Source organism: Homo sapiens, chromosome 3 (genome assembly GCF_000001405.40).
Source record: "Homo sapiens chromosome 3, GRCh38.p14 Primary Assembly".
Taxonomy (NCBI): Eukaryota; Metazoa; Chordata; class Mammalia; order Primates; family Hominidae; genus Homo; species Homo sapiens.
The window spans coordinates 56,962,896-56,987,476 of record NC_000003.12 but is presented as its reverse complement, the minus strand read 5'-3'; the positions used below and the strand labels follow the sequence as shown (position 1 = coordinate 56,987,476).

General features: G+C 42.8%; 1 protein-coding gene across 14 annotated transcripts in view; it reads left to right on the top strand.

The window, feature by feature from the left end:
* ARHGEF3 (Rho guanine nucleotide exchange factor 3) overlaps window positions 1–24,581 on the top strand; it is a 351,849-nt gene that overhangs the window by 91,792 nt on the left and 235,476 nt on the right. The window contains exons 1-2 of one of the 14 annotated variants that reach the window (XM_047448225.1): window positions 10,102–10,201; window positions 11,657–11,715. The exons of 12 other annotated variants lie outside the window; for them this stretch is intronic. Coding sequence is in view for 1 of the 2 variants with exons in the window: in XM_011533764.2 (XP_011532066.1) it covers window positions 10,182–10,201 (20 nt within the window). In the remaining variant the exon portion in view is untranslated. Of the gene's footprint in view, window positions 1–10,101; window positions 10,202–11,656; window positions 11,716–24,581 lie in introns of those variants that run through there. One more of the 14 variants, XM_011533764.2, reaches the window with a different exon arrangement.

Genomic DNA, 24,581 nt, shown 5'->3' with positions numbered 1-24,581 from the left:
CTGGAGCCTCCTGTGCCAAACACTTCCCTCCTACTCCTGCTCAGCCGTTGCATTGCCCAGAGCTCAGCCCAGTGCTGGTGCTGGTAACAGTTGAGAGACAAAGAGGGGGAGCCCTGAAGTCAGAGCTCTGCTCTCCCTGTGGCCGGCACATGATTATGCCCCAGATTCCTCATCTGCAAGATGGTGATGTTAACAGAATCTGTCCAGAAAGTATGGACTATAATGAGGCGTTGGCAACCCAGAGTTACTTGTTTGTTTGTTTTCTGAGTCAGGGTCTCACTCCATCACCCAGGCTGGAGTATAGTGGGACGATCACAGCTCACTGCAGCTTTGACCTCTTGGGCTCAAAGGATCCTCCCATCTTAGCCTTCCTAGTAGCTGGGACTACAGGCATGCATCACCATGCCCAGCTAATTTTTTCAATTTTTGTAGAGATGGGGTTTTGCCATCTTACCCAGGCAGGTCTCGAACTCCTGGCCTCATGTGATCCTCCCATCATGGCCTCCCAAGGTGTTGGGATTACAGGCATGAGCCATCACACCCGGCCTCCAAAGTGTTTTAAACATCACTTCACCCGCAGTAAGGATTCAATATCCATGGACCATCATTACTATTAAGATTATGACCATCACTCCAGACCTATTTTTATTTTTATCTTTTTTTTTTTCAAAATTCGCATGCGTTTATCCTCTTTTCTGCCCCCACTTCTTTCCTACCTACTGTCTCCTCCCCAGTGACTACCCCCACTACTACCCTGAAACTGCCTTCGAGGTGACCAGCCATCTGGAGAGCCAAAGCTGTTGGGGGGTTTTGTGCAGTCTTCATCATGGACTCCCCTTTCACAGCATTGGGTCCTGGCTCCGCCTCCTCCTGGAACACTCGATTTGCTGGCTTCCCCCCAACCCCTTACTCCCAACTGCACCGTCCCCAGGGCTGTTGCTTCCGGCCTCTTCTATCACTGCAGGTCCTTGCCTTTGGTCACCCCAGCCATGCCAGGACATTGGCTTTGACCTCAGCTGCAAATCCCAGTTCCCCACTGTTGCCAAACCTTTCTGTCTACAGCTCCCAGGGGCCCCAGACTTTGTATGTGTTAAACTCAGATTTCTGGAGGCTGGTGAGGGATGAGCTGCCTTCAGTCTCAGAGACTAGAGGCAGAGATTAGGGACAACAGGCCTTTTTAAGCAACTGAGAATTCAGTCTGAGGGCACTGGGAAGCCTTTGCAGGTGGAGGCAGGATAAACCCCAAATCTGTCCACCCCTAAAGACCCTGCACTTCCTGATTTTTTGTTGGGCTCTTTAGGTTGCTGGTAGTTTGTGGGTGTGTGGTTTCTTTTACATTTAATTTCCCCCTGCTGGTGATTCATGCATCCCTCCTAGACTCCAGAGCCCCAAATACAATGTTAATAAGTTGCATCTGGCAGAGTGCAGCGTGCTGGGGTGTTTGTGACTGCACTATATTGATGTTTGGTAAGTTTCTGAGGCCTGGCTCTTTGAGAGTCTTTGAACAGGGCCTTCTCTGGGAGCCCAGCAGCAGCAGCCTGTTGTAGAGGGACCTCCCTGAGTGTCCCTGGTGACCTTCCAGCCAGGCGGCATCACATTGCCCCTTGCTGCTAATTCCCCTTGCCCACCCCCAGCCCCACCTGTGGGTATGTTGTCCATTTACATCCTCATTTGTTAGAGTCTGTGCCTTCCTCTCACCTGCTTGTTCATTCTGGCCAGGGCCCAGTGCCCAGGAGGCATGGTGAATGTGCGTGAGGGGATCGAGGGGGCGAGGCCGCAGGCTGCTCTCAGCTATGCTGTTCCCAGGGACCCGTGCACTGCTGCCCCTCTCAGAACCTCAGTTTCCCTATCTGTCTTTACAAAATAGCTGGCCCTGAGCCCTGCTGCCCACCTGTCTGTGGAATACATGTGGAGAACAGCCAATGTGGCAGAGCCCCAGTTCAGGGGTGGAGGCGGCGAATGAATATGTCACATTGTCGCCCTGTAGCGAGTGCAATGCTATTCTGGCTGCCCCAGTGCCAGGACAGTCTGAGCAGCAGTGATTTTTAAAGAGAATGTGTATTCCAATTTAAAATCCTGTGTTTTAAAGGCTGGGCGCGGTGGCTCACGCCTGCAATCCCAGCACTTTGGGAGGCCGAGGCGGGCAGATCGCCTGAGGCCAGGAGTTCAAGACCAGCCTGGCCAACATGGTGAAACCCTCTCTCTGCTAAAAATACAAAAATTAGCTGGTCATGGTGGCGGGCACCTATAGTCCCAGCTACTTGGGAGGCTGAAGCAGGAGAATCACTTGAACCCAAGAGGCAGAGGTTGCAGTGAGCTAGGATTGCACCATTGCATTCCCCGCCTGGGCGACAGAGTGAGACTCTGTCTCAAAAAAATCAAATCAAATCATGTGTTTCTGTTAGAAGATGTCCTTGTGTTTCTTTGCTTTTCTTCAGAAGCATTCATAGGCCAGGGGTGAAAAAACTACCATCTTTTACTCCAGAAGAAATATGACTTCCCATAATACTTTAGATTTCCAGTATCTGGAAGGGTAACTGATGTTGCTTTTGCTGATAGCAGGTAGCAAAGGTATTGGTCATTACGGGGCCACCAAGGATCCTGGAAGGATCCTTTTCTACTGTCCAAGGCCGGGCTCCCCTCCCCTGTTTTCTTTTCCTCCCCTCTCTAGTCCACTCTAAGAGCCAAACTAATCCAAATATTTTTCTTTCCTCTGTAGGCCCTTGGTGTTTCATAATCTAGAAAACTCTAGGGAGTAATGTTCACTTGATGTAGTTTCATGTTGGCAGTTAAAAATGAACTTTATAAAACAGACTTGTAGTCCATTTGGGAAATGCACAAAGTGATTTTTTAAAAAGTTATGCCACGATCAATATTATAGTGTTTTCCTTATCTTTTTTTTTAAACCTGTGAGTTTATTTATGTAACTTTATATTCTAGTTTTTCGTCCAGTATTTTAATATAATCATTGCCTCATGACAAGGGCAAATCAGACATCACAGTTTGCGGGGCTTGTCCACCTCCCTCCCTTCCTTGTAACATACTCGCCCACCCACCTACCCATCATGTGCTTGTCCACTTACCAACCATCCATCCATCATGGATTGAGGGGCTCTTCTCTGAGGAACAGGGCTGGGTTCTAAGAAACAATTATCAATGCGACAGGCAGGGTCCCTGCCCTTGGGGAGTTACTGCTATATAGTGGAACCAGTGTGTAAGTAAACACAGGGGAAAATGGCAGATTGTGGGGGTCTCTGGGTGGTGGGCAGGGGGCTGCAGCCCACGGTGTGGTTTTGACTTCCATGCATGGATGGCAGCTCAGTGGTTGTGTAAGCTCTTGTGGCTGCTGTGTGTCTGTGAGGCTATCCACAATGGGAGGCTGGATTTAAACACTAGATCTGGAATTTCCCTACAAAAAGGTGCCCCCATGAGTGCTCAGGACTGTGGGGTCCTTCTATGTGGGGTGAACTGAGGGACTGTACAGTGTGGCAGGGTCAATTATTGAGCTGGGATAGCCAGTCTTTTTTTTTTTTTTTTTTCTCGAGACGGAGTCTCGCTCTGTCACTAGGCTGGAGTGCGGTGGCACAATCTCAGCTCACTGCAACCTCCGCCCCCAAGGTTCAAGCAATTCTCCTGCCTCAGCCTTCCGAGTAGCTGGGACTACAGGCGTGCACCACCACGCCTGGCTAAATTTTGTATTTTTAGTAGAGACAGGGTTTCACCATATTGGCCAGGATGGCCTCGATCTCCTGACCTCATGATCCGCCCGCCTCTGGCTCCCAAAGTGCTGGCATTACAGGCGTCAGCCACTGCTTCCGGCTGATAGTCAGTTTTAAAAGGAGACATGAACCTGACCCAGCATGCTGACCCTGCAGAAGGGGGCTGTGTTGTAAATGCATTGTTCTCTGGTGTTAGAAATTGCATAGTTATTTGTAGCATCACAGGTACTATTGGAGGCGAGGGGATTTTTTAGAGGGATTTCTTAGAAAGCTTTATGTCTGCAGCAGAGTCTGAAAGGATATACACCAGGCCAGGGATCACCAACTCTGAGTGTGACAGAGACCAGGCAGGACCTTACATGAGTGGCCAGGGAAGGGCAGGGGTCACAGTGGGGAGGGATGGAGACCCCAAGAGCCCATGGTCCATCTGAAGGGGGCAGCTACCACTCAACCCTAGCAGACCATGGTCACTTGTGGAAATAGGGGCCCTTAGTGATGAGATTTTTTAAAATATTGAACTGAAGCTAGAGACTGTACCTGATTTCTAAATGAAATCTAGATTTTTAAATGTTGGATGCTACCTCAAAAATAAATACATATATACATACATACACCCTAGGGGTCATATAAAATATACCAGCAGTCTTCCCATTTCTGACTTGTACCTCAAATTTAACTTAGAAGTTAAATTATTATTTTTTTTATTGCTTACTTGTTTACATTTTAATTTTGTTTGTTTGCCTTTGTAATGAGCATATGATATTTATTTGTAAGCAGGAAAGAAGAAGGAAGACATCTTTATAACCCAAAGGGCTCCCTACCCTTTAATTTTTGTTGATGGTCCCTGGGCAGGTGGGTGACGGTCAGGTTGCCTGGACTGCGGGGCTGGCTGCTGGAGTGTTTGCTCGGTGGGAAGAGGACCCATATCCAGAAAGAGGAGGAAGGACAGCCAGGGGTTCTGCAGGCCAGGTCCCAGGGCTGCTGACCAAGGCAGCAGACAGGTGGGGACCTGGGAGCACACTAGGCACTCACTCATTCCATCATCCATTTCCTCATTCATTCATTCATTCACCGGATGTATACTGGGTACTTATGGTTCAGAGACCTGATCTGGGCCTTAGGGTTATAGCAGCGAACAAAGTAGACAACAATCTCCACCCTTATGGGATTCAAGAAACAGTAAGTAAGACATAGGGTAGGTCTGATGGTGCTAAACACCATTGAAAACAGGCAAGAGGGGTGGATAGGAAGGCTGGAGAGGGCCACAGTTTCCAACAGGATGGTCTGAGAGAGTCCCACTGAGAAGAGCCCTGAAGGAGGGGTTTCGCTCCATTACACATGAATTAAGTGCTTACTGTGTGCTAGGCACTCTGGATGGTCCCCTGGGAACATTCCCATTTTGATGCTTTCTTTAATGAACTTTTGCAAAGAAACAAAGCATAGTTCTTTTGGTTGCATGTGACAGAAATAGAATGTACGCTTGCTTACTTTTTTTTTTTTTTTAAAGAGAGCTCACTTTTTATCACTGGCAAGTCTAGTGATAGGCTACCTTCAGGCATAGCTCGATCCAGGTGGTTAATCTGTGTCATTAGGAGCCTTCTCTCTCTTGGTCTCTTGCTCTGCTTTCCCCAGGTTAGCTTCTTTCTCAGGTAAGCTTTCTGCACAAGATGCCCTGCACAGCTCCAAGTTTGCATCTCATCAGCTCAGTGCCTGTCCCAGAAGGACTGTATATCTGTTCTTTAATGCCAGCCAAAGTCTTGGGGCCACTCCCACTGAACAGGCCAGGTTACATGCCCATCTCTGGAGCCTGGGGTTGGCCCTTCCTGAATCACAGTGTCCCAAAGGGGAGAGGGCATCCCCCAACAGAAAATCTGGGTGCTGTTAGCAGAAGAATGGGGACTAAATGCTGGGCAGTGAGGAACAGCAGATGTCCACTCTGACAACACTTGGATTAAGGAAGCAGGAAGGGCTGAAAAAACAGCCTGAAAACAGGGAGACCTTCAAGGGTCCCAGCCTGTGACCAACAGACCATGTGAGCTTGGCCAGGTCTTAGTGCTCCAGTCCCTAAATGAGGGTGGTCAGCTGGTTCTCTGAGGATCCTTCCAGCTTGTGATCTGTTTGAGTTTTAGATACATTATCTGAAAACAGATATGACTGAATTAAATTACCAGGTTTGAAATAATACAGGGTTATGGATCCTGGGTAGAAGTTTTTTTTTGTTTTGTTTTTATTCAACAACTAGCTCTGTTGGTGAATTGCTGAGGAAGCCGTGAAGGACATGAGACCCACCTCTGCTCAAGCTATGCTGCTCCTTGCTGGTGGCACCTACCTACACCTCTGCCTTTATAGTGTGCAGCAAAGCTTTGCCAACTTTTCAGTCTGGTAATGGAAAGTGAGCTTCACTGTCATGGATGTCATGCTTTAAAGGCTAGAATGATGCATTAAGAAAGATTTACCCTGGCCTCATCTTCCAGTGCAAACTTATGAGTAGGCCATAGTTGAAACATGACTACCAACAGCTGTAGGGAAAACCAGCTGTGTGGACATCGGCATGTGTTTCCAAGACACCAAGCAGATATCTCAGTCCAGAATTTTGTTTTAATGGTTATATCTTATCTTGACAGACACATACCAATGTATTTCCCCAGGAAGATGGGGAGGGAAGACAGGGATTGCTCCTTGGCGACTCTGCTGATGTGACTTTCTGTTAGTCAGACGTCTGCAGGGGCCAGCATTTGTGTTGAATGGTGGAAGGCTTGGGAGTGAGTCATCTCAAAGCCAGAAAACCATGCATCACCCTCTCCAGGAAGTACTGGCAGTCATACAATTGCACAAGTAGGCAGCCACAGGCCATGTGGATATTGAGGTGGGTAGTGCAGTCAGGCAAGAGCCTCGGAGGCCGATGAACTTGACTTGAAGCCTGGTAGCATTGCTGCTTCTTGGCTGTGTGACCCAAGTCAAGTTACTTGAGCTCTCTGCACCTGAGTTTCCCATCTGTAAATCTGAACGATAATGGCACCCACTCGTAGGAGAACATACTTCAGGTTCTTGTCAGCCAGAATAATGACTACTGTTGGTAGTGGTGCCATTCCTAATGGGCTAATAGGAGACAGAGTGACATAATATTCATAGCAGCTAACATGCACTTTACATATTAGGACCATTGTACTCATTATGGGTACTGTTCTTAGCTCTTCTAAGAGCTAAGGTAGATAACGTGATTATTCCCACTAACCTACGTAGGTACTATATATGGTCCCGACCCACAATGAGTCGCCTTACAGTTTTTAGCCTTTCTGATGGTGTGAGAGTGACACGTATCCAGGAGAAACTGTACTTTGAGTCCCCATACAGCCATTCTTCTTTTTTTCACTTTCAGTACAGTTTTCAGTAAATTACATGAAATATTCACCACTGTATTACAAAACAGGCTTTGTGTTTAATAATTTTGCCCAGTTGTAGGCTAATGTGAGTGTTCTGGGCATGTTTAAGTGGGCTAGGCTTTAAAAGCATGCATTAAGGTGCCAAATCCAGATAATTCTATATTTTCACAATGTGGCATAAGCAAGTCTTCTTGCTACTGCCTTACTTATTGGATTTGTAGGGTAAGCTGAGCTGTGATGTTTGGTAGGTTAAGGGTATTAAGTGCATTTTCGACTTACCATTGTAAGTTGAGGTGCGCGTGAGTTATCATCATCATTCTCAATTCACAAATGAGGAATCTGAGGCACAAAGAGTTAGGTAACCTGCCTGGAGTCACAGGGCAAGTGAGTGGTCGATGTGTGATCAGAACCCACGCAGCTGGTTCCAGAGCCCTTGCTTCTAACCACCACCGTCAGTAGTCTCACTGCAGAAATAAGAGCTGCACAGGATGCTTCCTATAGGTCAGGAAATGTTCTAAGCACCTTCTAAGGATTGAGTCCTTTAACTCTCATAACAACCAAACCCTTGTAAGTTGGTACAATTATTTTCCCCATTTTCTAGATGAGGAAACTGAGTCACCCACAAAGGGCTAAGAAAAGGAATTCACATCCTCGTTGGCTGGCTGATTTAAGACAGGGAAGCTGACCTCTCTGAGCCCCAGCGTTGCCATGGGCTGAGAGGCGATCTAGGATAAGCACCACCTGCAGTCGTGATGTGGACCAGACCTTCTTTGGAGGGGGCCTACTTTATTCCTAGTGAGGGCCTTGCTCACAGACCCCGGCTTTATTCCTGGGCCTGTGCCTTGTCTCTGGCTGCCTGTGGCAGCTGGACAGGGCTGAGAGCCCTTGGGAAGGTGTGGCATCTTGGGGGAAGAGGATTTTGAAGAGATGCCTCTGCCCCTGGCTTGGGCCTCCTGTGGCAGCAGGAACGAGCTTGGCCCTACCACGGATGCAATGGCAAATAACACTGTGAACCTGTCCCAACCACTGCAGGGCAAACAGTTGAATATATCTGGGTCTCAGTTTACTCAGTTGCAAAATGGGATGAGTGTGGAATGAAAGCATGCAATTAAAGGTGCCAAATCCAGATAATTCCATATTTTCACAATGTGGAATAAGTAAGTCTTTTTGCTGCTACCTTATTGGATATGTAGAAATTTTCAAGGAGCTTTCTTTCTTTTAGAGGTAAGGTCTCACTGTGTTGCCCAGGCTGGAGTACAATGGTGCAATCATAGTTCACTGCAGCCTGGGCTCTGGGCTCAAGCCATCCTCCCACCTCAGTCTTCCAAGTAGTTGGGACTACAGGTGCATGCCACTATGGCCGGCTAATTTTTTTATTTTTTGTAGAGGTGAGGGCTCACTTTCTTGTCCAGTCTGGTCTTGAACTCCTGGCCAGAGGTGATCCTCCAGCCTTAGTCTACCAAAGTGCTGGGATTATAGGTGTGAGCCACTGTACCCAGCCTCAAGGGGCTTTCTTAATAACTGGTTCCTATTGTTGGCTGTGTGAGCTCTGTCTAGCTTCTCCCTCTCTGGCAATGTTAGGAGCTGTACCCTTATTGCTAGGCCCATGTTTGTGGTTATTTTGTCCAATTAATTATCGTTAGGATGAACTTTTGGGTCATTTTAATGCTCTTGGAAAATGATGTCAAATTACCCTGTGGAAATTTCACGTCAATATATACATTTATAGTTGTGAAGCACAGTGCCTGTTTTCTCCACATTCTTTCTTGCATTTGATATGCCCATATAGAAGTTGCTAATTTGAAATATAAACATGCTAACTTATTTAAATTTCCATTTGGCTAGTTAGTAGGGAGGGTGAGTACTTTTTGTTTGTTTATTGATTGATTGGGTTTTTTATTTTGTGAGCTATGTTATGGCAAAGCATTTCAGTTTTCTTTTTCAAATAAACTAAAATTTTCTTATTACAAAAATGTACATGTCATAAAATTTTAGACAGTGTAGGAACGTGTGACATGGCACATGCAAGTTCCCCGGATCAATCCTAACCTTGAGAAATCACCACTGCTGACAGTATGGGAATGATAATTCCAGAATCTTCTAGAAATTTTTGAGTGCTATCCATTTGACTTTAAAGACTTCTGAAGGTTCATTCATGGTTTTCATGTGTTAAAAGGTGTTTTGTCCAGTGACATCTTTGTCAAATAAAGGTAGTAGGCTTATTTTGATAAATTTATCTTTTCAGAGAAGCCATGTAGCCTAGTACGGGGCGGGGGTGACCGCACCTGGGGTCCCCACTGAATGCTGGCATGTCTCCCTGTGCTCAGCAGGGTGTATATGGATCTGTTGGCCTTGTCTGGTCTGTTGACAGGATTGCTTTTTGTCTCTACTGTCAGGCTGTTGAGCTGGAAGGGCAGTGACGGGAGGCTGAGGGGCTTCTGCTCTTTTGACAGTCCCAGCACCATTGCCTTAGTGATAGTCACAGCCAGTTTCTACTCTCTATGTACTTTGTGTGCTTGAGTTTACTTAAACCTCACAACAGCTCTGTGAGGTGTAAAACCTAATATTATTCCTATTTTTCATAGTCTAAGACATGGATTCCTAGAGGCCGAACCCATTTGCTTAGGGCCACAAGATAGCCAGCTGGAACTCAATTCCAGCCCTGCCAGGCACCAAGTCCCCTGGAGATGTTAGCTGTTCACTTTGCAAATCTCCATTTCTCTGCACCATCTCTCCATGAGCCCCATCTCCCTGTCAGCCTGTGTATTTATTGGCCTGGTCCAGATGTGTCCAGGGACCTGGGGAACCTCCCATCGGTTCCCATTATTATAAAGACTTTGAGCAAGTTGGGGGCAGGTAAAAGGACATGTCTCTCCAAGGGCTGCATCCCAGAATCAGGGCTCCCGAGTGAGTGGGAAGAGCATCTTTGCCTGGGTCATAAAGTGTGGTTGCCATGGCGGCAGCATGGCAATGCTGATGCAAGTGCTGGCCCTGTTCCCAGGAGCCCATCTGGTGAGCTGAGAGTTAGTGAGGGGCCCAAGAGAATGGGGCTTGCTCTGCCCTGTGCTTTAGATGGACCATGTTTGATAGAAATATTTGGTAAGTAGCACGTAGCTGATAATTACAGTCATTTTTCTCGCCCCAGTTTGTGGCTCTTGTGGATTAGGCAGCCAGAAAAATCTTGATGCAACTTGGTGGAGCTCTGGGGCAGGATCCTGGAATTGGACTGTCTGGCCTTACCCTTTAGTAGCTGTGAGGCATTTCTAAATCTAAGCTCTCAGTGCCACAGCTTCCTCATCTGTTACAGCCCTTATTCCACAGGGCCCCTGTGAGGATTAAATGAGTTAATCCTCATAAAAAGCACAGTACGAATAGTAGTAGTAGTATGAAAATAGTACTAATATTACCCTCTTTTACTCAGAATTACCTCATACCCGCCACTCCCTTTTTTTAGCCGTCATTGAGGTCTGCCAGGATTCAGCATGGTGGCTTGCTGTTTGGTGCAGTGCTGAAATCAGTGGCCTTGACATTACCTTCCTTTCTACCACATGAGCTCTAACAAGCCTGACGCAGTTCCACTCCCACATTTCACTGACAGTTTGGGAATAAACATGTTTTTATGTGTGGCCCCAGTCACTGCCAAAAACAGCATTTATGGAGCATCTAATTACCTTGGAGACTGTGGTGGGTCCTGTATTGGAGTCAATAAACTGCTTTAAGCAATGCTGGCTAATTTAAGAATTTTTGGCATTTTAAACTGTTAGGATCAACAGAACATTTATTATAAATGCCCATATCTGAGGACCCACTTTTAAGATTGCAATGTTCATTTTGGAGGGGTTGGGCCACCTACATATGGATTTATTAGTTTCTGATCAATATAGTATTGAATAAAATATAAAGACTTTCTTCTGCTCCTCCCAGGGCAAGAAGCCCTTACGGAGTACCTGTTTGATAGAAACTAGTAAAGTATGGTATCTAGAGATATAATTTTTGAGTAAAGAGTTTTCTAGGATTTGAAAAACATGAATTGACCGGATGCAGTGGCTCACACCTGTAATCCCAGCACTCTGGGAGGCCGAGGCCGGCAGATCACTTGAGGTCAGGAGTCCAAGACCAGCTTGGCCAACATGACGAAACCCCGTCTCTACTAAAAAATACAAAAATTAGCCAGGTGTGGTGGTGGTCGCCTGTAATCCCAGGTACTCGGGAGGCTGAGACAGAAGAATTGCTTGAACGCAGGAGGTGGAGGTTGCAGTGAGCCAAGATTGCGCCACTGCACTCCAGCCTGGGCAACAGAGCAAGACTCTGTCTCAACAACAACAACAAAAAACACCTTCTAAGCGTTGATTATTTGATCGAAATCTCTTTAAAATGTTAAGAAAACTGAGCCATTAAATGTTTTAAATTGAAATTACCCTTCTATTAAAAGTATAATATGCACACAGAAAAGTTTACCATTAATCTCCATGGATATTTTTATTTGCAGATGTAGAAAAACCAGTGAATAAGACTAATCTCTGATCTTTATTGTTTTTATTATTTTTTTTTAAGTCCTGTTATACTTCATGTAAAGAGAACCAACTCAGTATTGGCTCTGCGCCTGGTACATAGTAAGTGTTTGAGTTTCCATCTCCTTTCCTCTGTTGTGGCTGCTTCTGCAATGGTTTTAACATCTGTTTCTCTGTTCATCAACTCTAGAGCCAGATTGCCTGGGTTTGAATCCCACTCTGATGCCTACTAGCTGTGTGATTTTGGGCAAGTCACTTAACCTGTCTGAGCCTCAGTTTTTTCACCTGTAAAGTGGGAGTAACAAATATATCTACTCATAAAAGTTTTTTGAGGACAAAATGAGTTAGTATTTATTTAGCATTCAGAACAGTGTCTGGCTATGACACAGTGAGCCCTCTGTAAGCACTGGTTCTTTATTTTTTATTTATTATTATTATTATTTTTTGAGACAGAGTCTTGCTCTGTTGCCCAGGCTGGAGTGCTGTGGTGCAATCTTGGCTCACTGCAACCTCCACCTCCTGGGTTCAAGCGATTCCCCTGCCTCAGCCTCCCGAGTAGCTGGGACTACAGGTGAGCACCACCACGCTCGGCTAATTTTTGAATTTTTAGTAGAGACGGAATTTCACCATGTTGGCCAAGCTAGTCTCATACTCCTGACCTCAAATGATCCGCCTGCCTCGGCCTCCCAGAGTGATGGGATTACAGGTGTGAGCCACCGCACTCAGCCAGAACTGGTTCTTTTTAAACAGTGAACCCTTGACAACGTTCTCTATGACAGAGAGATTGAGGGTACCCCCAGTCCATATGATAATGGGCAGTGGTGCTGATGAGTTAGGGAGCCCATGACCTGATCCCACATCCGTCTCATCAGTGGAGAGCTTTGGTCTTATTTCAAACAAGGAGGAGGGGCCCTCAGTGTCGGTGCGTGGGAAGGCAGAGCACAAACAAGGAGTCCTGGTTAGAAAAATACACTCTCGGGAAAGAACAGGCTCTCCCCAGGCAAAACTTTAGAAAAATAACAATCTGCTGCTCCTTGATTAAAGGGTAGAAAACTAATTATCCTTTCCGGAGGGACGTGAGGCTGCTCTCTGCCAGGCTGTGACCTGGAGGTGCAGGATGTGGATTTCCTTAGGATGTAATGAAGCCTTTGCCATTGAAAACGTGCGATGATTCAGATGGATGTGGGGGGCAGGGGGAGGGGAGAGGGAGAACGATCCCTTTGCTTTTAAAAGCAACTTCTGGACACTTCAGAAACATTTGCGGGTCAGCACTTTGAATATGGAAAACTGATTTTCTTAAATTAGATTTCCAGAAGACCTCTTACAAAACATCCCTTCAAAAATGTTCTGTAATTTTTGCTAATTAGACCAGCTGACAGTGAGCTTAGGTGTTTGAAAGCTTGGTGCTGCCATCTATCCGCTGATGATGCAGATGAGAATGCCAAATGAGGTAGTAACTGGGAAACACTTTTTTTGTGTGTGTATGCTGAAGAAATACCAAGTAGTATTAATTTTAGTTTCTTTAGTTAAGGGAAGAGCATGAAAAATTCGATATTTATATAACTAGTATATTATATTCCTCATTGTCTCCCACACCATACTGTTAGGGATGGAAATTTCCCATTGGCCTGTACCATTTGGCTGCAGATGTCAAGAAAGTTCAAAAAAGTCTTACAAATAGTTATTGAGCATCTACCATATGTCTAGAGGGTGGGGATAAAATGTTAAAAAGATAATGAAGTGGCTGTTCTCAGGGAGCTCAATATATACATATATTGGAGACAGAGTCTTGATCTGTCGCCCAGGCTGGAGTGCAGTGGTGCGATCATAGCTCACTGCAACCTCCACCTCCTGGGCACAAGCAATTCTCCCACCTCAGCCTCCCAAGTAGCTGGAACTACAGGTATGCACCACCACAACTGTCTAATTTTTTTATTTTTTGTAGAGACAGGCTTTCGCTATCTTGCCTAGTCTGGTTGGAGCTCATATTTTAATGACTTCGGTGGACTGACCAATACCTAAGCTCTCTGTCAATTTGTATTTTATATGAATAATGCTTCTTAGGTATCTTTGGACAAGTATCTCTAAGCTCTCTTTCTCCATTTCACTAATGTTTTCTTGTCAAGTCACCAGGGGTCTCTGCTTTGCCAAATTTGGTGGGCACCTCTCCATCCTCCTGCTTGGTGAAATAGTAGAGTCTCCCTCTTTGAAGCACTGTCTTCACTTGGCCTCCGCGTTGTCCCTCTCTTGGTTTTCCTCCTACCCTCATGGGGCTCTTCTCATGTCTGCAAGCTGATGATTTCTGAAAATAGTCTCCTTATATTTAGCAGCTAATTCCACATCTCTATTTGGAGGTCCATACTATTTCAATGTTATATGTCTGCTCTTGATTTTTGTCCCCAAATCTGCTCTTCCCATAGCCCTTTGCTATCTTCCCATTGTTCAGGCTAAATTTCTTTAGAGCAGCATCCTTTACTGCTCTTATTTCACCTTCTGTACTTAATCCACAGTAGATAGTGTTATTCCTGCCTTCAAATATGTTCATCATGCCAGGCGCGGTGGCTCACGCCTGTAATCCCAGCACTTTGGGAGGCCGAGGCGCGCGGATCACGAGGTCAGGAGATCGAGACCAGCCTGGCTAACACGGTGAAACCCCGTCTCTACTAAAAATACAAAAAAATTAGCCGGGCGTGGTGGCGGGTGCCTGTAGTCCCAGCTACTCGGGAGGCTGAGGCAGGAGAATGGTGTGAACCCGGGAGGCGGAGCTTATAGTGAGCCAAAATCGCACCACTGCACTCCAGCCTGGGCGACAGAGCGAGACTCCATCTCAAAAAAAAAAAAACAAAAAAACTGTTCACCATTCCACTACTCCTCACCACCCCCACTGCCACCATCTTGTTCCAAGTCCCTGCCATCCCTCATCTGGGCTGCTGTAGGAACTTCCTCACCTCCTCCCTGCCCCCGTCTCGCCACCTGGAGCTTCTGTCTCCATACAACATTGACAGCAATCCTTTTAAAACTTAGGTCAGGTTTGTTTTCTGCTCGGAATCCTCCAGTGGCCTCCCCTCTCCCTTGGACTAAAATCCAGAGACCTTGCAGTAATCTGTGAGACCCTTGCCATCTGGTTTCAGCTCCTTCTGTGACTCTCCGCTCTTGCTCACTGCTTACCCCACTCCAGCCATATTGGTTTTGCTGCCCCTCAGCCGTGCCCCAGGAACTTTGCATGAGCTATCCTGTCCACCTAAGACAGGCTTCCGGCTCTTGCAGGGAGAAGCCTGCCCTGGGCACTCCATACTAAATATCAGCTACTCCCACCACCCCCGATCCCCTACCCTGCTTTGTCCTTCTCCATAGAATTTATCACCTTCTAATGTAAGCTCTGAGAGAAGAGGAACTATATTTTTTCCTCTGCTGTATCCCTATGCCTAAAATAATGCCTAGCACATGGTAGACACTCAGCAAATGTTTAAAGCCAACATTTATTATGTACTTGGTGTGAACCAGGTAGTTGGCGCAGTGCTTTATAGGAATTATTTATTTACTTCTCAAAGCAACCCTAGGAGGTCTAAGTCTTATCATATCCATTTTCAAGTTGGAAGCTGAAGACTGGGAAAGTTGTATAAGTTGTCCAAAGTAATTTGATGGACTTGGGCTTGAACCCAGGTCTTGGAGACTGCAGAGCCCATGCTTCTGACCACCTTGGGTTACCGTTCTCTCCCTGTGGTGGCCTGAATTGGTTCTAGAAGTGTTTATCGTAGCTGACCAACACACAGAAATGTGAATGAGCAACCCAAGGCCCATCCATGGACTTGAAATAAGGAAATAGATAGGAGTCCTGGTGCGTTTGTTATGATGAGATAAGGTCTCTCAGGAGTGTCTGGGATATGAATGTGCTGTGGGGCAGATACTCTCTCCTGGATGAGGAGACAAGGGAACCACACCAGGTGGGGTTAGTAAGGTGAAAATCATGTATAACCCAAAGTGCTTTTTAAAATTTTTTTTTATTTTTTGAGATGGAGTCTCGCTCTGTTGCCCAGGCTGGAGTTCAGTGGCACCATCTCAGCTCACTGCAAGCTCCACCTCCTGGGTTCACGCCATTCTCCTGCCTCAGCCTCCCGAGTAGCTGGGACTACAGTTGCCCGCCACCATGCCCACTAATTTTTTTTTTGTATTTTTAGTAGAGATGAGGTTTTACTGTGTTAGTCAGGATGGTCTCGATCTCCTGACCTCATGATCCACCCACCTCGGCCTCCCAAAGTGCTGGAATTTCAGGCGTGAGCCACCGCGCCCGGCCTTAACCCAAAGTGCTCTTAAAAGCCCTGGGAAAGGGTCATGTTGGGGCCTGACTGTCCATCTCTCATTAAATCCCTCATGGCCGGTATCCTCTTCAATGCTGTTCATTTGGACAGCTCCAGACCAGACTGAGAAGTTGGTTGGCATTTGAGGGCCTTTTTGTTCCAAAAGTGCTTATTTATAAAGGATCCAGCACGGCCTGAGAGACGCCTGGGGAAAAGGAGATGACTGGGGTGAATACAGATCCACAGCCCCATGTCAGGCTTGCTTCGGGGTCCCTGCCGGGCGCTTAGAAGACCCCATGAGATGGCTTCCACTATGCATGTTCTTCTCTGTCTCTCTCTGAAGTGCATATGTTGTATTCATGTTCTTTCATCGTGTATGGAAGCCTACCCTGTGTATTGGTGACCACAGACTTACTGAGGGCCGCACCATGAATTCATTCTCATTATTTATTAAGCTCCTATTAGCTGCAAGGAGTGCAGTGACAGCAGCGAGTCTAAACCAGATAGTCCCTGGCTTTCCAGAGCTGGTTCCCTGGAAGAGGGCTCTCTTACAGGGTCCCTTCTGTGCTCCAGTCACTAAGAGCTTTACGTATATTAACTCCTCTACTCCTCACAACAGCCCTGTGAGAGGGGGGTCTTGTTAGTACCTTCATTTTACAGATGGAGGAACTAGGAATCAGAGATATTAAGTCACTTGTCCAGCGCTACACAGGTGGTGAGTTGCAGAGCCGGCTCCAGCTTCTGTGCTCTTAACTACTGGGCGAAGCCGCCCCTGTATGGCAGCACTCAGGAAGCACTGACAGTGACTATTGCAGTTCTCCTTCTGGGAGATTGCACGCATGAAAAGTTGTTCTAAAGATACAAGCTTCGCAGGAAGCTAAAATACAGAAGGGGAACACAGCAAAATGGCTCTTAAGTGGGAGCAGAAGACAGACCAGCTGTTGCTGCTGAATCTCTGAGCACAGAGACAGTGCAGGGGTTGGAGGGGGAAGTGGGAGTGGGAGGACATGCAGAAAGCCAGAAGGTGTGGGAGTTCTTATCATCGTTGAGTGACTCAAGTAAATATATGCCTCAGAAATGGACTTGTAGGACTGATTTCTCACAAGTACTGATAAAACTCCACCACTAAGCCGCTTCCATCAAATCCCAGGCCACATTAAAATGCTTGCTTTCTCAGCTTATTTACTGAATTTTCTCTTCTGGAGTAGTTAATAGGATTTTATTTCACATCATTATTCCGTGTGGATTTTTTCCATTAAATATGTTTCTTTTATTTTGCCCGAAAATATTTTTATTTCACCCTCACTTTTCAAAAATTGTAGTAGAATACACATAAAATATTACCATTGCAACCATTTAAACCATTACCATATTTACCATTTCAACTATTTAAAAATGTATAATAATTCAATGGCATTAAGTACATTCACAAGGTTGTGCACCCATCACCACTATCGAATTCCAGAACCTTTTCATCACCCCAAAAGGAATCTGTGTACTCATTAAGCAGTCACTCCTCATTCCTCCTCTTCCCCCAGCTTCTGGAGCTAATCTACTTTCTGACTCTATGGATTTGTCTATTCTGGACATTTCACATAAATGGAATCATATAATATGTATCCCTTGTGTCTGGCTTCTTTCACTTTGCATGTTTTCAAGATTCTTCCATGGTGTGGCATGTATCAGTACTTCATTCTTTTTTTAATGGTTGAATAATATTCTGTTGTATGGATATATCACATTTTGTTTATCCATTAGTTGATGAACGTTTCATATGTACCTTTTCTTTTCTTTTTCTTTCTTTTTTTTTTTTGATACGGAGTCTCACTCTGTCACCGAGGCTGGAGTGCAGTGGTGCGATCTCGGTCCCTGGTTCAAGCAATTCTCCTGCCTCAGCCTCCCAAGTAGCTGGAATTATAGGCATGAGCCACCATGCTCAGCTAATTTTTGTATTTTTAGTAGATATGGGATTTCACCATGTTGGCCAGGATGGTCTTGATCTTCTGACCTTGTGGTCTGCCCACTTCGACCTCCCAAAGTGCTGGGATTACAGGCGTGAGCCACCGCGCCCGGCCCTTATATGTACCTTTTCAATAGGGTTATTATAATACCAGCCATGTGCCAGACACATTGCTACATGCTATGTCCTGAATATATGAAAAATTCTTATTGATCAATCAATAAGAAAAAAAGAACACTTCTTTATATAAATGAGCAAATGAACTGAACAAGCGTTTTACAGAAGAGGAACTACAAATATAATTTCATGGATTTAAAAAATCATTTCGATCTCGTCTCTAGTTAATTCTGGAATTGTTTTGAATAGGGTAGTCCTATATTATTTGCAAACTATGCACATGTATTTGTTTGGGATATTACCTATTTAGGGGAAGAATTTCATTTGTTGCTTTGTTCAAGTAGATCTTTATACATTTGTGACCTAAAGATGATTTGGTATTTACAGATGTAGTACTACCTCTCTAAAGCCTTTGTAAAATATTTTGTCCTTTTAGCGTTTCTGAATTCAGATGGACACTAACATCCTTTTGGAGAATGCGTCGTTTTTAGCAGGGGTTCTCAATTTATGTATTTTGGTTGTCACCAACTGCTAAGACATGGAGCAGTGGATTTTCACAGTCAGAGGTTATTGGAAACGGAATGCCTTATTTTTCTATAACTGTGCTGTTCAATATGATGGCCACATGCCACATGTGACAACTGAGCACTTAAAACATGGCTGGTGCCAATGAAGATGTGTCATAAGTGTAAAATACACATTGGATTTTGAAGGCTTGGTATGAAAAAAAATAAAGTATCTCTAACACTTTTTTCCTGTTGATTATGTGTTCAATAATATCTGGATATACTGGGTTAAATAAACTATACTATTAAAACTAAACTTATCTATTCCTTTTTACTTTTAAAATGTGACTAATAGGCTGGGTATGGTGGCTCACACCTGTAATCTTAGCACTTTGGGAGGCTGAGGCAGGAGGATTGCTTGAGCCCAAGAGTTCAAGACCATCCTGGGCAACATAGGGAGACCCCGTCTCTACAGAAAAAAAAAAAAGCTAGTTGTGCTGGTGTGTGCCTGTAGTCTTAGGAGGCTGAGGCGGGAGTATCACTTGAGCTGGGGAGTTCAAGGCTGCAGTGAGCCATCATCACGCCACTACATTTCCAGCCTGGGCAACGGAGTAAGACCATGTCTCAAAAAATATATATATTATATATTATATATATATAAAATATATTTTATATATATTATATATTATATATATTATATATATTTTATATATTATATATTTAAATATTATATATTAATATATATATTTATATATATATTATATATAATATATATTTTTATATATTATATATAATATATATTTTTATATATATTATATAATATATATTTTTATATATATTATATATAAAAATATATGTTTTATATATATTATATACAATATATATTTTATGTATAATAAATATATAATATATTATATATATTATATATATTATATATATTTTATATATATTAAATATATATGTTTTATATTTAAAAATATATATTATATATTTTATATATAAACTATAATATAAAATATATTTTATATATATAATATATAATATATTTTATATTATATATAATATATTATATATAATATATTATTTATATATTATATATTTATATTATATATTATATATGTCATTATATATTATATAATAATATAATTAATATATATTATATTATATAATATATATTATATAATATGTAATATATAATCATATAATATAATATATTATATATAATTGTATATATAATATATATAATTATAGTACCAGTATATATGTTATATATAATATAATGTTTATTATGTTATATATAATATAATAAGTATTATATATAATAGCTATTTTATATATTATATAATATATATTATATAATATATATTATGTAACATATATAATATATAATTAAATATATTATGTATAATATATATTATATATTATATAATGTACATAATATGTAATATATTATACATATAATATATTATATTATATATTATGTAATATATTTAATATATTATATAATATATTATATAATATATAATATGTATAATATATAATATATTATATAATATATAATATGTATAATATATAATATATTATATAATATATAATATGTATAATATATAATATATAATATAATATTATATAATATATGATATGTACAATATATAATATATAATATATAATATATAATATATAATTTGTATAATATATAATATAATATTATTATATATAAGTATGTATATACTATATATATATGACTAATAGAAAACTTAAATTACATATGTGGTTCACATGATATTTCAATTGAATAATGCTGTATTTAAAAAAAAAAAGGCTGGGCGCGGTGGCTCATGCCTGTAATCCCAGCACTTTCGGAGGCCGAGGCAGGCAGATCACTTGAGGTCGGGAGTTCGAGACCAACCTGACCAACATGGAGAAATCCTGTCTCTACTAAAAATACAAAATTAGCCGGGCATGGTGGCGCATGCCTGTAATCCTAGCTAGTCAGGAGGCTGAGGTAGGAGAATCACTTGAACCCAGGAGGTGGAGGTTGCAGTGAGCAGAGATTGCGCTATTGCACTCCAGCCTGGGCAGCAAGAGTGAAACTCTGTCTCAATAAAAAATAATAATAATAATAATAATAATTAAAAAAAAAAAGGCTGACAGAGGGTGGAGAATGGTTGAGAAGAGTTTCAGTGGACACCTATGACTCCCTTGCCTTCAGAATCTTGAAAGTGTCCCTGAGACAGGCCACACAGGGTCTGGATGTCTGCAGTAGCCTCCAGCTTATCTCTGCTTTCACTCTGAACCCCTGACTCTCTTTTCCCCTCCCTTGCCAGGGATATCTTTCTAAAAGGCAAATCTCATCATGTCACTCCATGCTTCAGTGGAACCCCATCACCCTATGGCCAAATCCCTGACTCTGCTTCCCTGTCCAGCCTTGCCCACCTATCCAGCCTCATCTCATGCCTTTCTGCCTCCTTCCCCACCAGCTAATATATGTTATTATAATCTGCATTATGTTCATTATATGCAATAAATCCACAATATATTTTCATAGTAAAAGACTAAGAAATACATAATATAAAGGATAATGTCCACATTTATGCTGTCTAAATACCACCCCAGCTATGTAATCAGTCACTGTCAACAGTTGGGCTGTGCCCTTCCAGGGCCCTCATCCTACATATACAGACCTAATTCTGTATCTTTGTATAGCATTCATCTCTGTACCCACTATACATCCAACATTTAGTCATATTTGCTTCAGATTTTGTGTGCTCCAACCCAGGCCCTATACCTTCCCTCTCTCCCTGGAGGTAATCATTCCTCTCCGGTTGAAATAGTCTTAACATCTGGAGTTTTTACATTTTTATTACATATATATGACTATAAACAATAGAGTAGTATTTTGTGTGTTTCTAAATAATATATCATATCATATCATGTATATCTCCTATAACTTGGATTTTCATTTTTTTCTTTTTTTGAGCTTTTTTATTACCATATAGTTCTATATGATCTTCCACTATAAAAATGAATGTAGTGGCCAGGCGCAGTGGCTCACACCTGTAATCCCAGCACTTTGGGAGGCCGAGCCAGGTGGATCATGAGGTCAGGAGATTGAGACCATCCTGGCTAACACGGTGAAACCACATCTCTAATAAAAATACAAAAAATTAGCCAAGCGTGGTGGCAGGTGCCAGTAGTCCCAGCTACTCAGGAGGCTGAGGCAAGAGAATGGTGTGAACCCGGAAGGCAGAGGTTGCAGTGAGCCGAGATTGTGCCACTGCACTCCAGCCTGGGCGACAGAGCGAGACTCCGTTTCAAAAAAAAAAAAAAAAAAAAAGAATGTAGTTTCATTTAATCTACTTCCTTATCAATAAACATTAAAGTTGTCATACTTCTTCCAGTTCTTCACATGTGCTATATTCTCCTTTATTTACCTCTTAACTCTTGATGCTTTTTATCTTCTATAGAAGTTTGTATAAGATTGAAATGATCTGGTTTTTGTTTTTTCTTTGGAAAGTTCGGTAGAATCCATTAGTTAAACTGTCTGGGGCTGACATTTTCTCTCATTTCTTTATTAATTATAAGGCTATTCAGGCTTTCTATTTCTTCTTGGGACAGTTTTAATAAGTTATATTTTCCTAGGGATTTCTGCATTTTCTTTAAGTTTTCAAATTTAATGCCATAAAACTATTGATAACATTCTTATTGTAGTCGTTATTTATTTGTTAAAATGGGGCCTTCTTATGGTTGCCCAGACTAGAGTGCAGTGACATTATCATCCCTGACTGCAGCCTTGAACTCCTAGGCTCAAGCAGTCCTCCCACCTCAGCCTGCTGAGTAGCTGGGATTATAGGCTCATGCTACCATGCCTGGTTAATTAAAAAAAATTTTTTTTGTAGAGTTGGTTTTGCTATGTTGCCCAAGCTGGTCTGGAACTCCTGGCCTCAAGCGATCCTCCTTCCTTGGCCACCCAAAGCACTGAGAAGCTTTAAATTTTAATTGCTATTTAATCTGTAGTTATGTGACCCTATTCATAACAGTATTTATTAGTGTCCTTTCCACCTCTTTTTGAATTTGGCCAGTTTTATCTATTTAATGTCTATTTTGTTTGTCTTTTCCCTTCTGCCTTTTTAGCATGGTTTTCCTTTGGCTTGGCCTACTTTTCCCTTTTCTCATCACCTGTTGAGTCCTTCTTCTCTGTTAGGTCTCAGAGAGGCCTCATTTTCTCTGGGAGGTCTTTCTGGCTCCTCAAACTTTGGTCGAGACCCTGCGGCACTCCTCACTACCACTTAAAAAAAAGCAATTTGCCATGTTGTAATTTTTTGGAGGGGAACAGGGTGGATCTGAATGCCCTGTGAGGACATGAAAGCAGGAACTGAATTTCTTGTCCACTGCTGATCTCTAATGTCTGGCACCATGCCTGACATGTAGTAGCTGCTCAATAATATTGGTGAACAAATTAGTGGGTGAGCTCCCACGAGTAGAGTACAGACCCATTCTCCAAAGGTGAGGGCTCTCTTTAAGGGGCCATTCTCAGCTGGACTGCTGGAAAGAGGATTCAGCTAGTGACTGAGAAATTGTACCAGCTGACCATTTCTGAGGTTCTGTGATTTTTTTTTTTTTTTTTTTTTTGAGACAGTCTTGCTCTTTCACCCAGGCTGGAGTGCAGTGGCACGATCTCGGCTCCCTGCAACCTGTGCCTCCCGGGTTCAAGTGATTCTCATGCCTCAGCCTCCCAAGTAGCTGGGACTACAGGCATGCACCACCATGTACAGTAATTTCTGCATTTTTTTAGTAGAGACGGGGTTTCACCATATTTTCCAGACTGGTCTCAAACTCCTGACCTCAGGTGATCTGCCTGCCTCGGCCTCCCAAAGTGCTGGGATTACAGGCGTGAGCCACCGCATGCAGCCTCTGTGATTCTTTTTTCCCGTAATTTATGAGGAAATAAAGAGTTGGAGTTGCAGCCATGGCATGAGTAGAATGAAGCTGAGTGTGACTCATTGAGCCATAGAAATGTTATTGGGATGTCCCTTTGTTCAAGAGAGAGACAGGCCAAAGTGATGAGCTTTCTATTCTGCAAACTACCTCTTCACAGTGAGCTTCTCCACAAAGAATTGGGTCTTCACCTGGCTAAACACCTGCCAGTCTCTCATCAACTATGTCCTAAAAACAGAAACTAAAAAGATGTTTAAGTGAAAGAAGCCATTATCTTCTTAAGTGGTTCAATCAGAATAAAAATACCTGGCACAGGTGGTACCACATTCGGCACAGATTTCTCTTAAAAAATATAGCTGTTTGATTTTTCTAGTTATGCTACAATTGTTCTGATGGATAAAGAGAGGTAAAACGAGAAAAGACGAAAAAAGTTTCGTTAGCAAGATGTTCTGGGTTAAGAATTCAGACAGTAAAATATTTAAAACATATACAACTTGCTGACGAAGGTGGTAGTCTTTGAGAAGGGAAAGTGGAGTTAGGAAATTAGAAAAGAGAAGTCTCTTTTCATGGTTACCTCAGGTCCAGATTTGTGGCCATGTTGTTATCTAAAACAAATATTCATAACACATTGAAGCCTTTGTTTTCTTTTGTGTATATTTTACCCAGTCCTTAAGAGTGAGATGTAAATTTCATTGGCCCTCCAATATGAGCCTCACCAATGATAATGGTAACTAACATTTACCCTTACTGGGTTAAAGAAGGAGTCTTCTCATAATGATAATAGCTAATTTGAGTACCTACTAAGTGCCAGACTCCCTGCTAGCCATTTTTTTTAGTACATGAATTTATTCCTTCAATTTTGTGAAAAGGGATTATTAGCCCCACTTTACAGATGAGAAAATGGAGGCTCAGAGGGAGTAGAGAGTAGGGAACTTGCTTGAAGTCCCCCACCAAGAAAGGGAGGGAGCCACTATTAGAACCCCAAGCTGGCTCTTCCCTAAACACCATGTTCTGAGCCCCACACAGTGCGCAGACAGCAGGAGCAGTCTAAATACATGTTCAATTCTGAACCCATACTAAGAAGCTGTTGTATAAGTGGTCGCTAAACCTCTTCTCAAGGTGACGAGAAACAGTCACATTTGTTTTCAC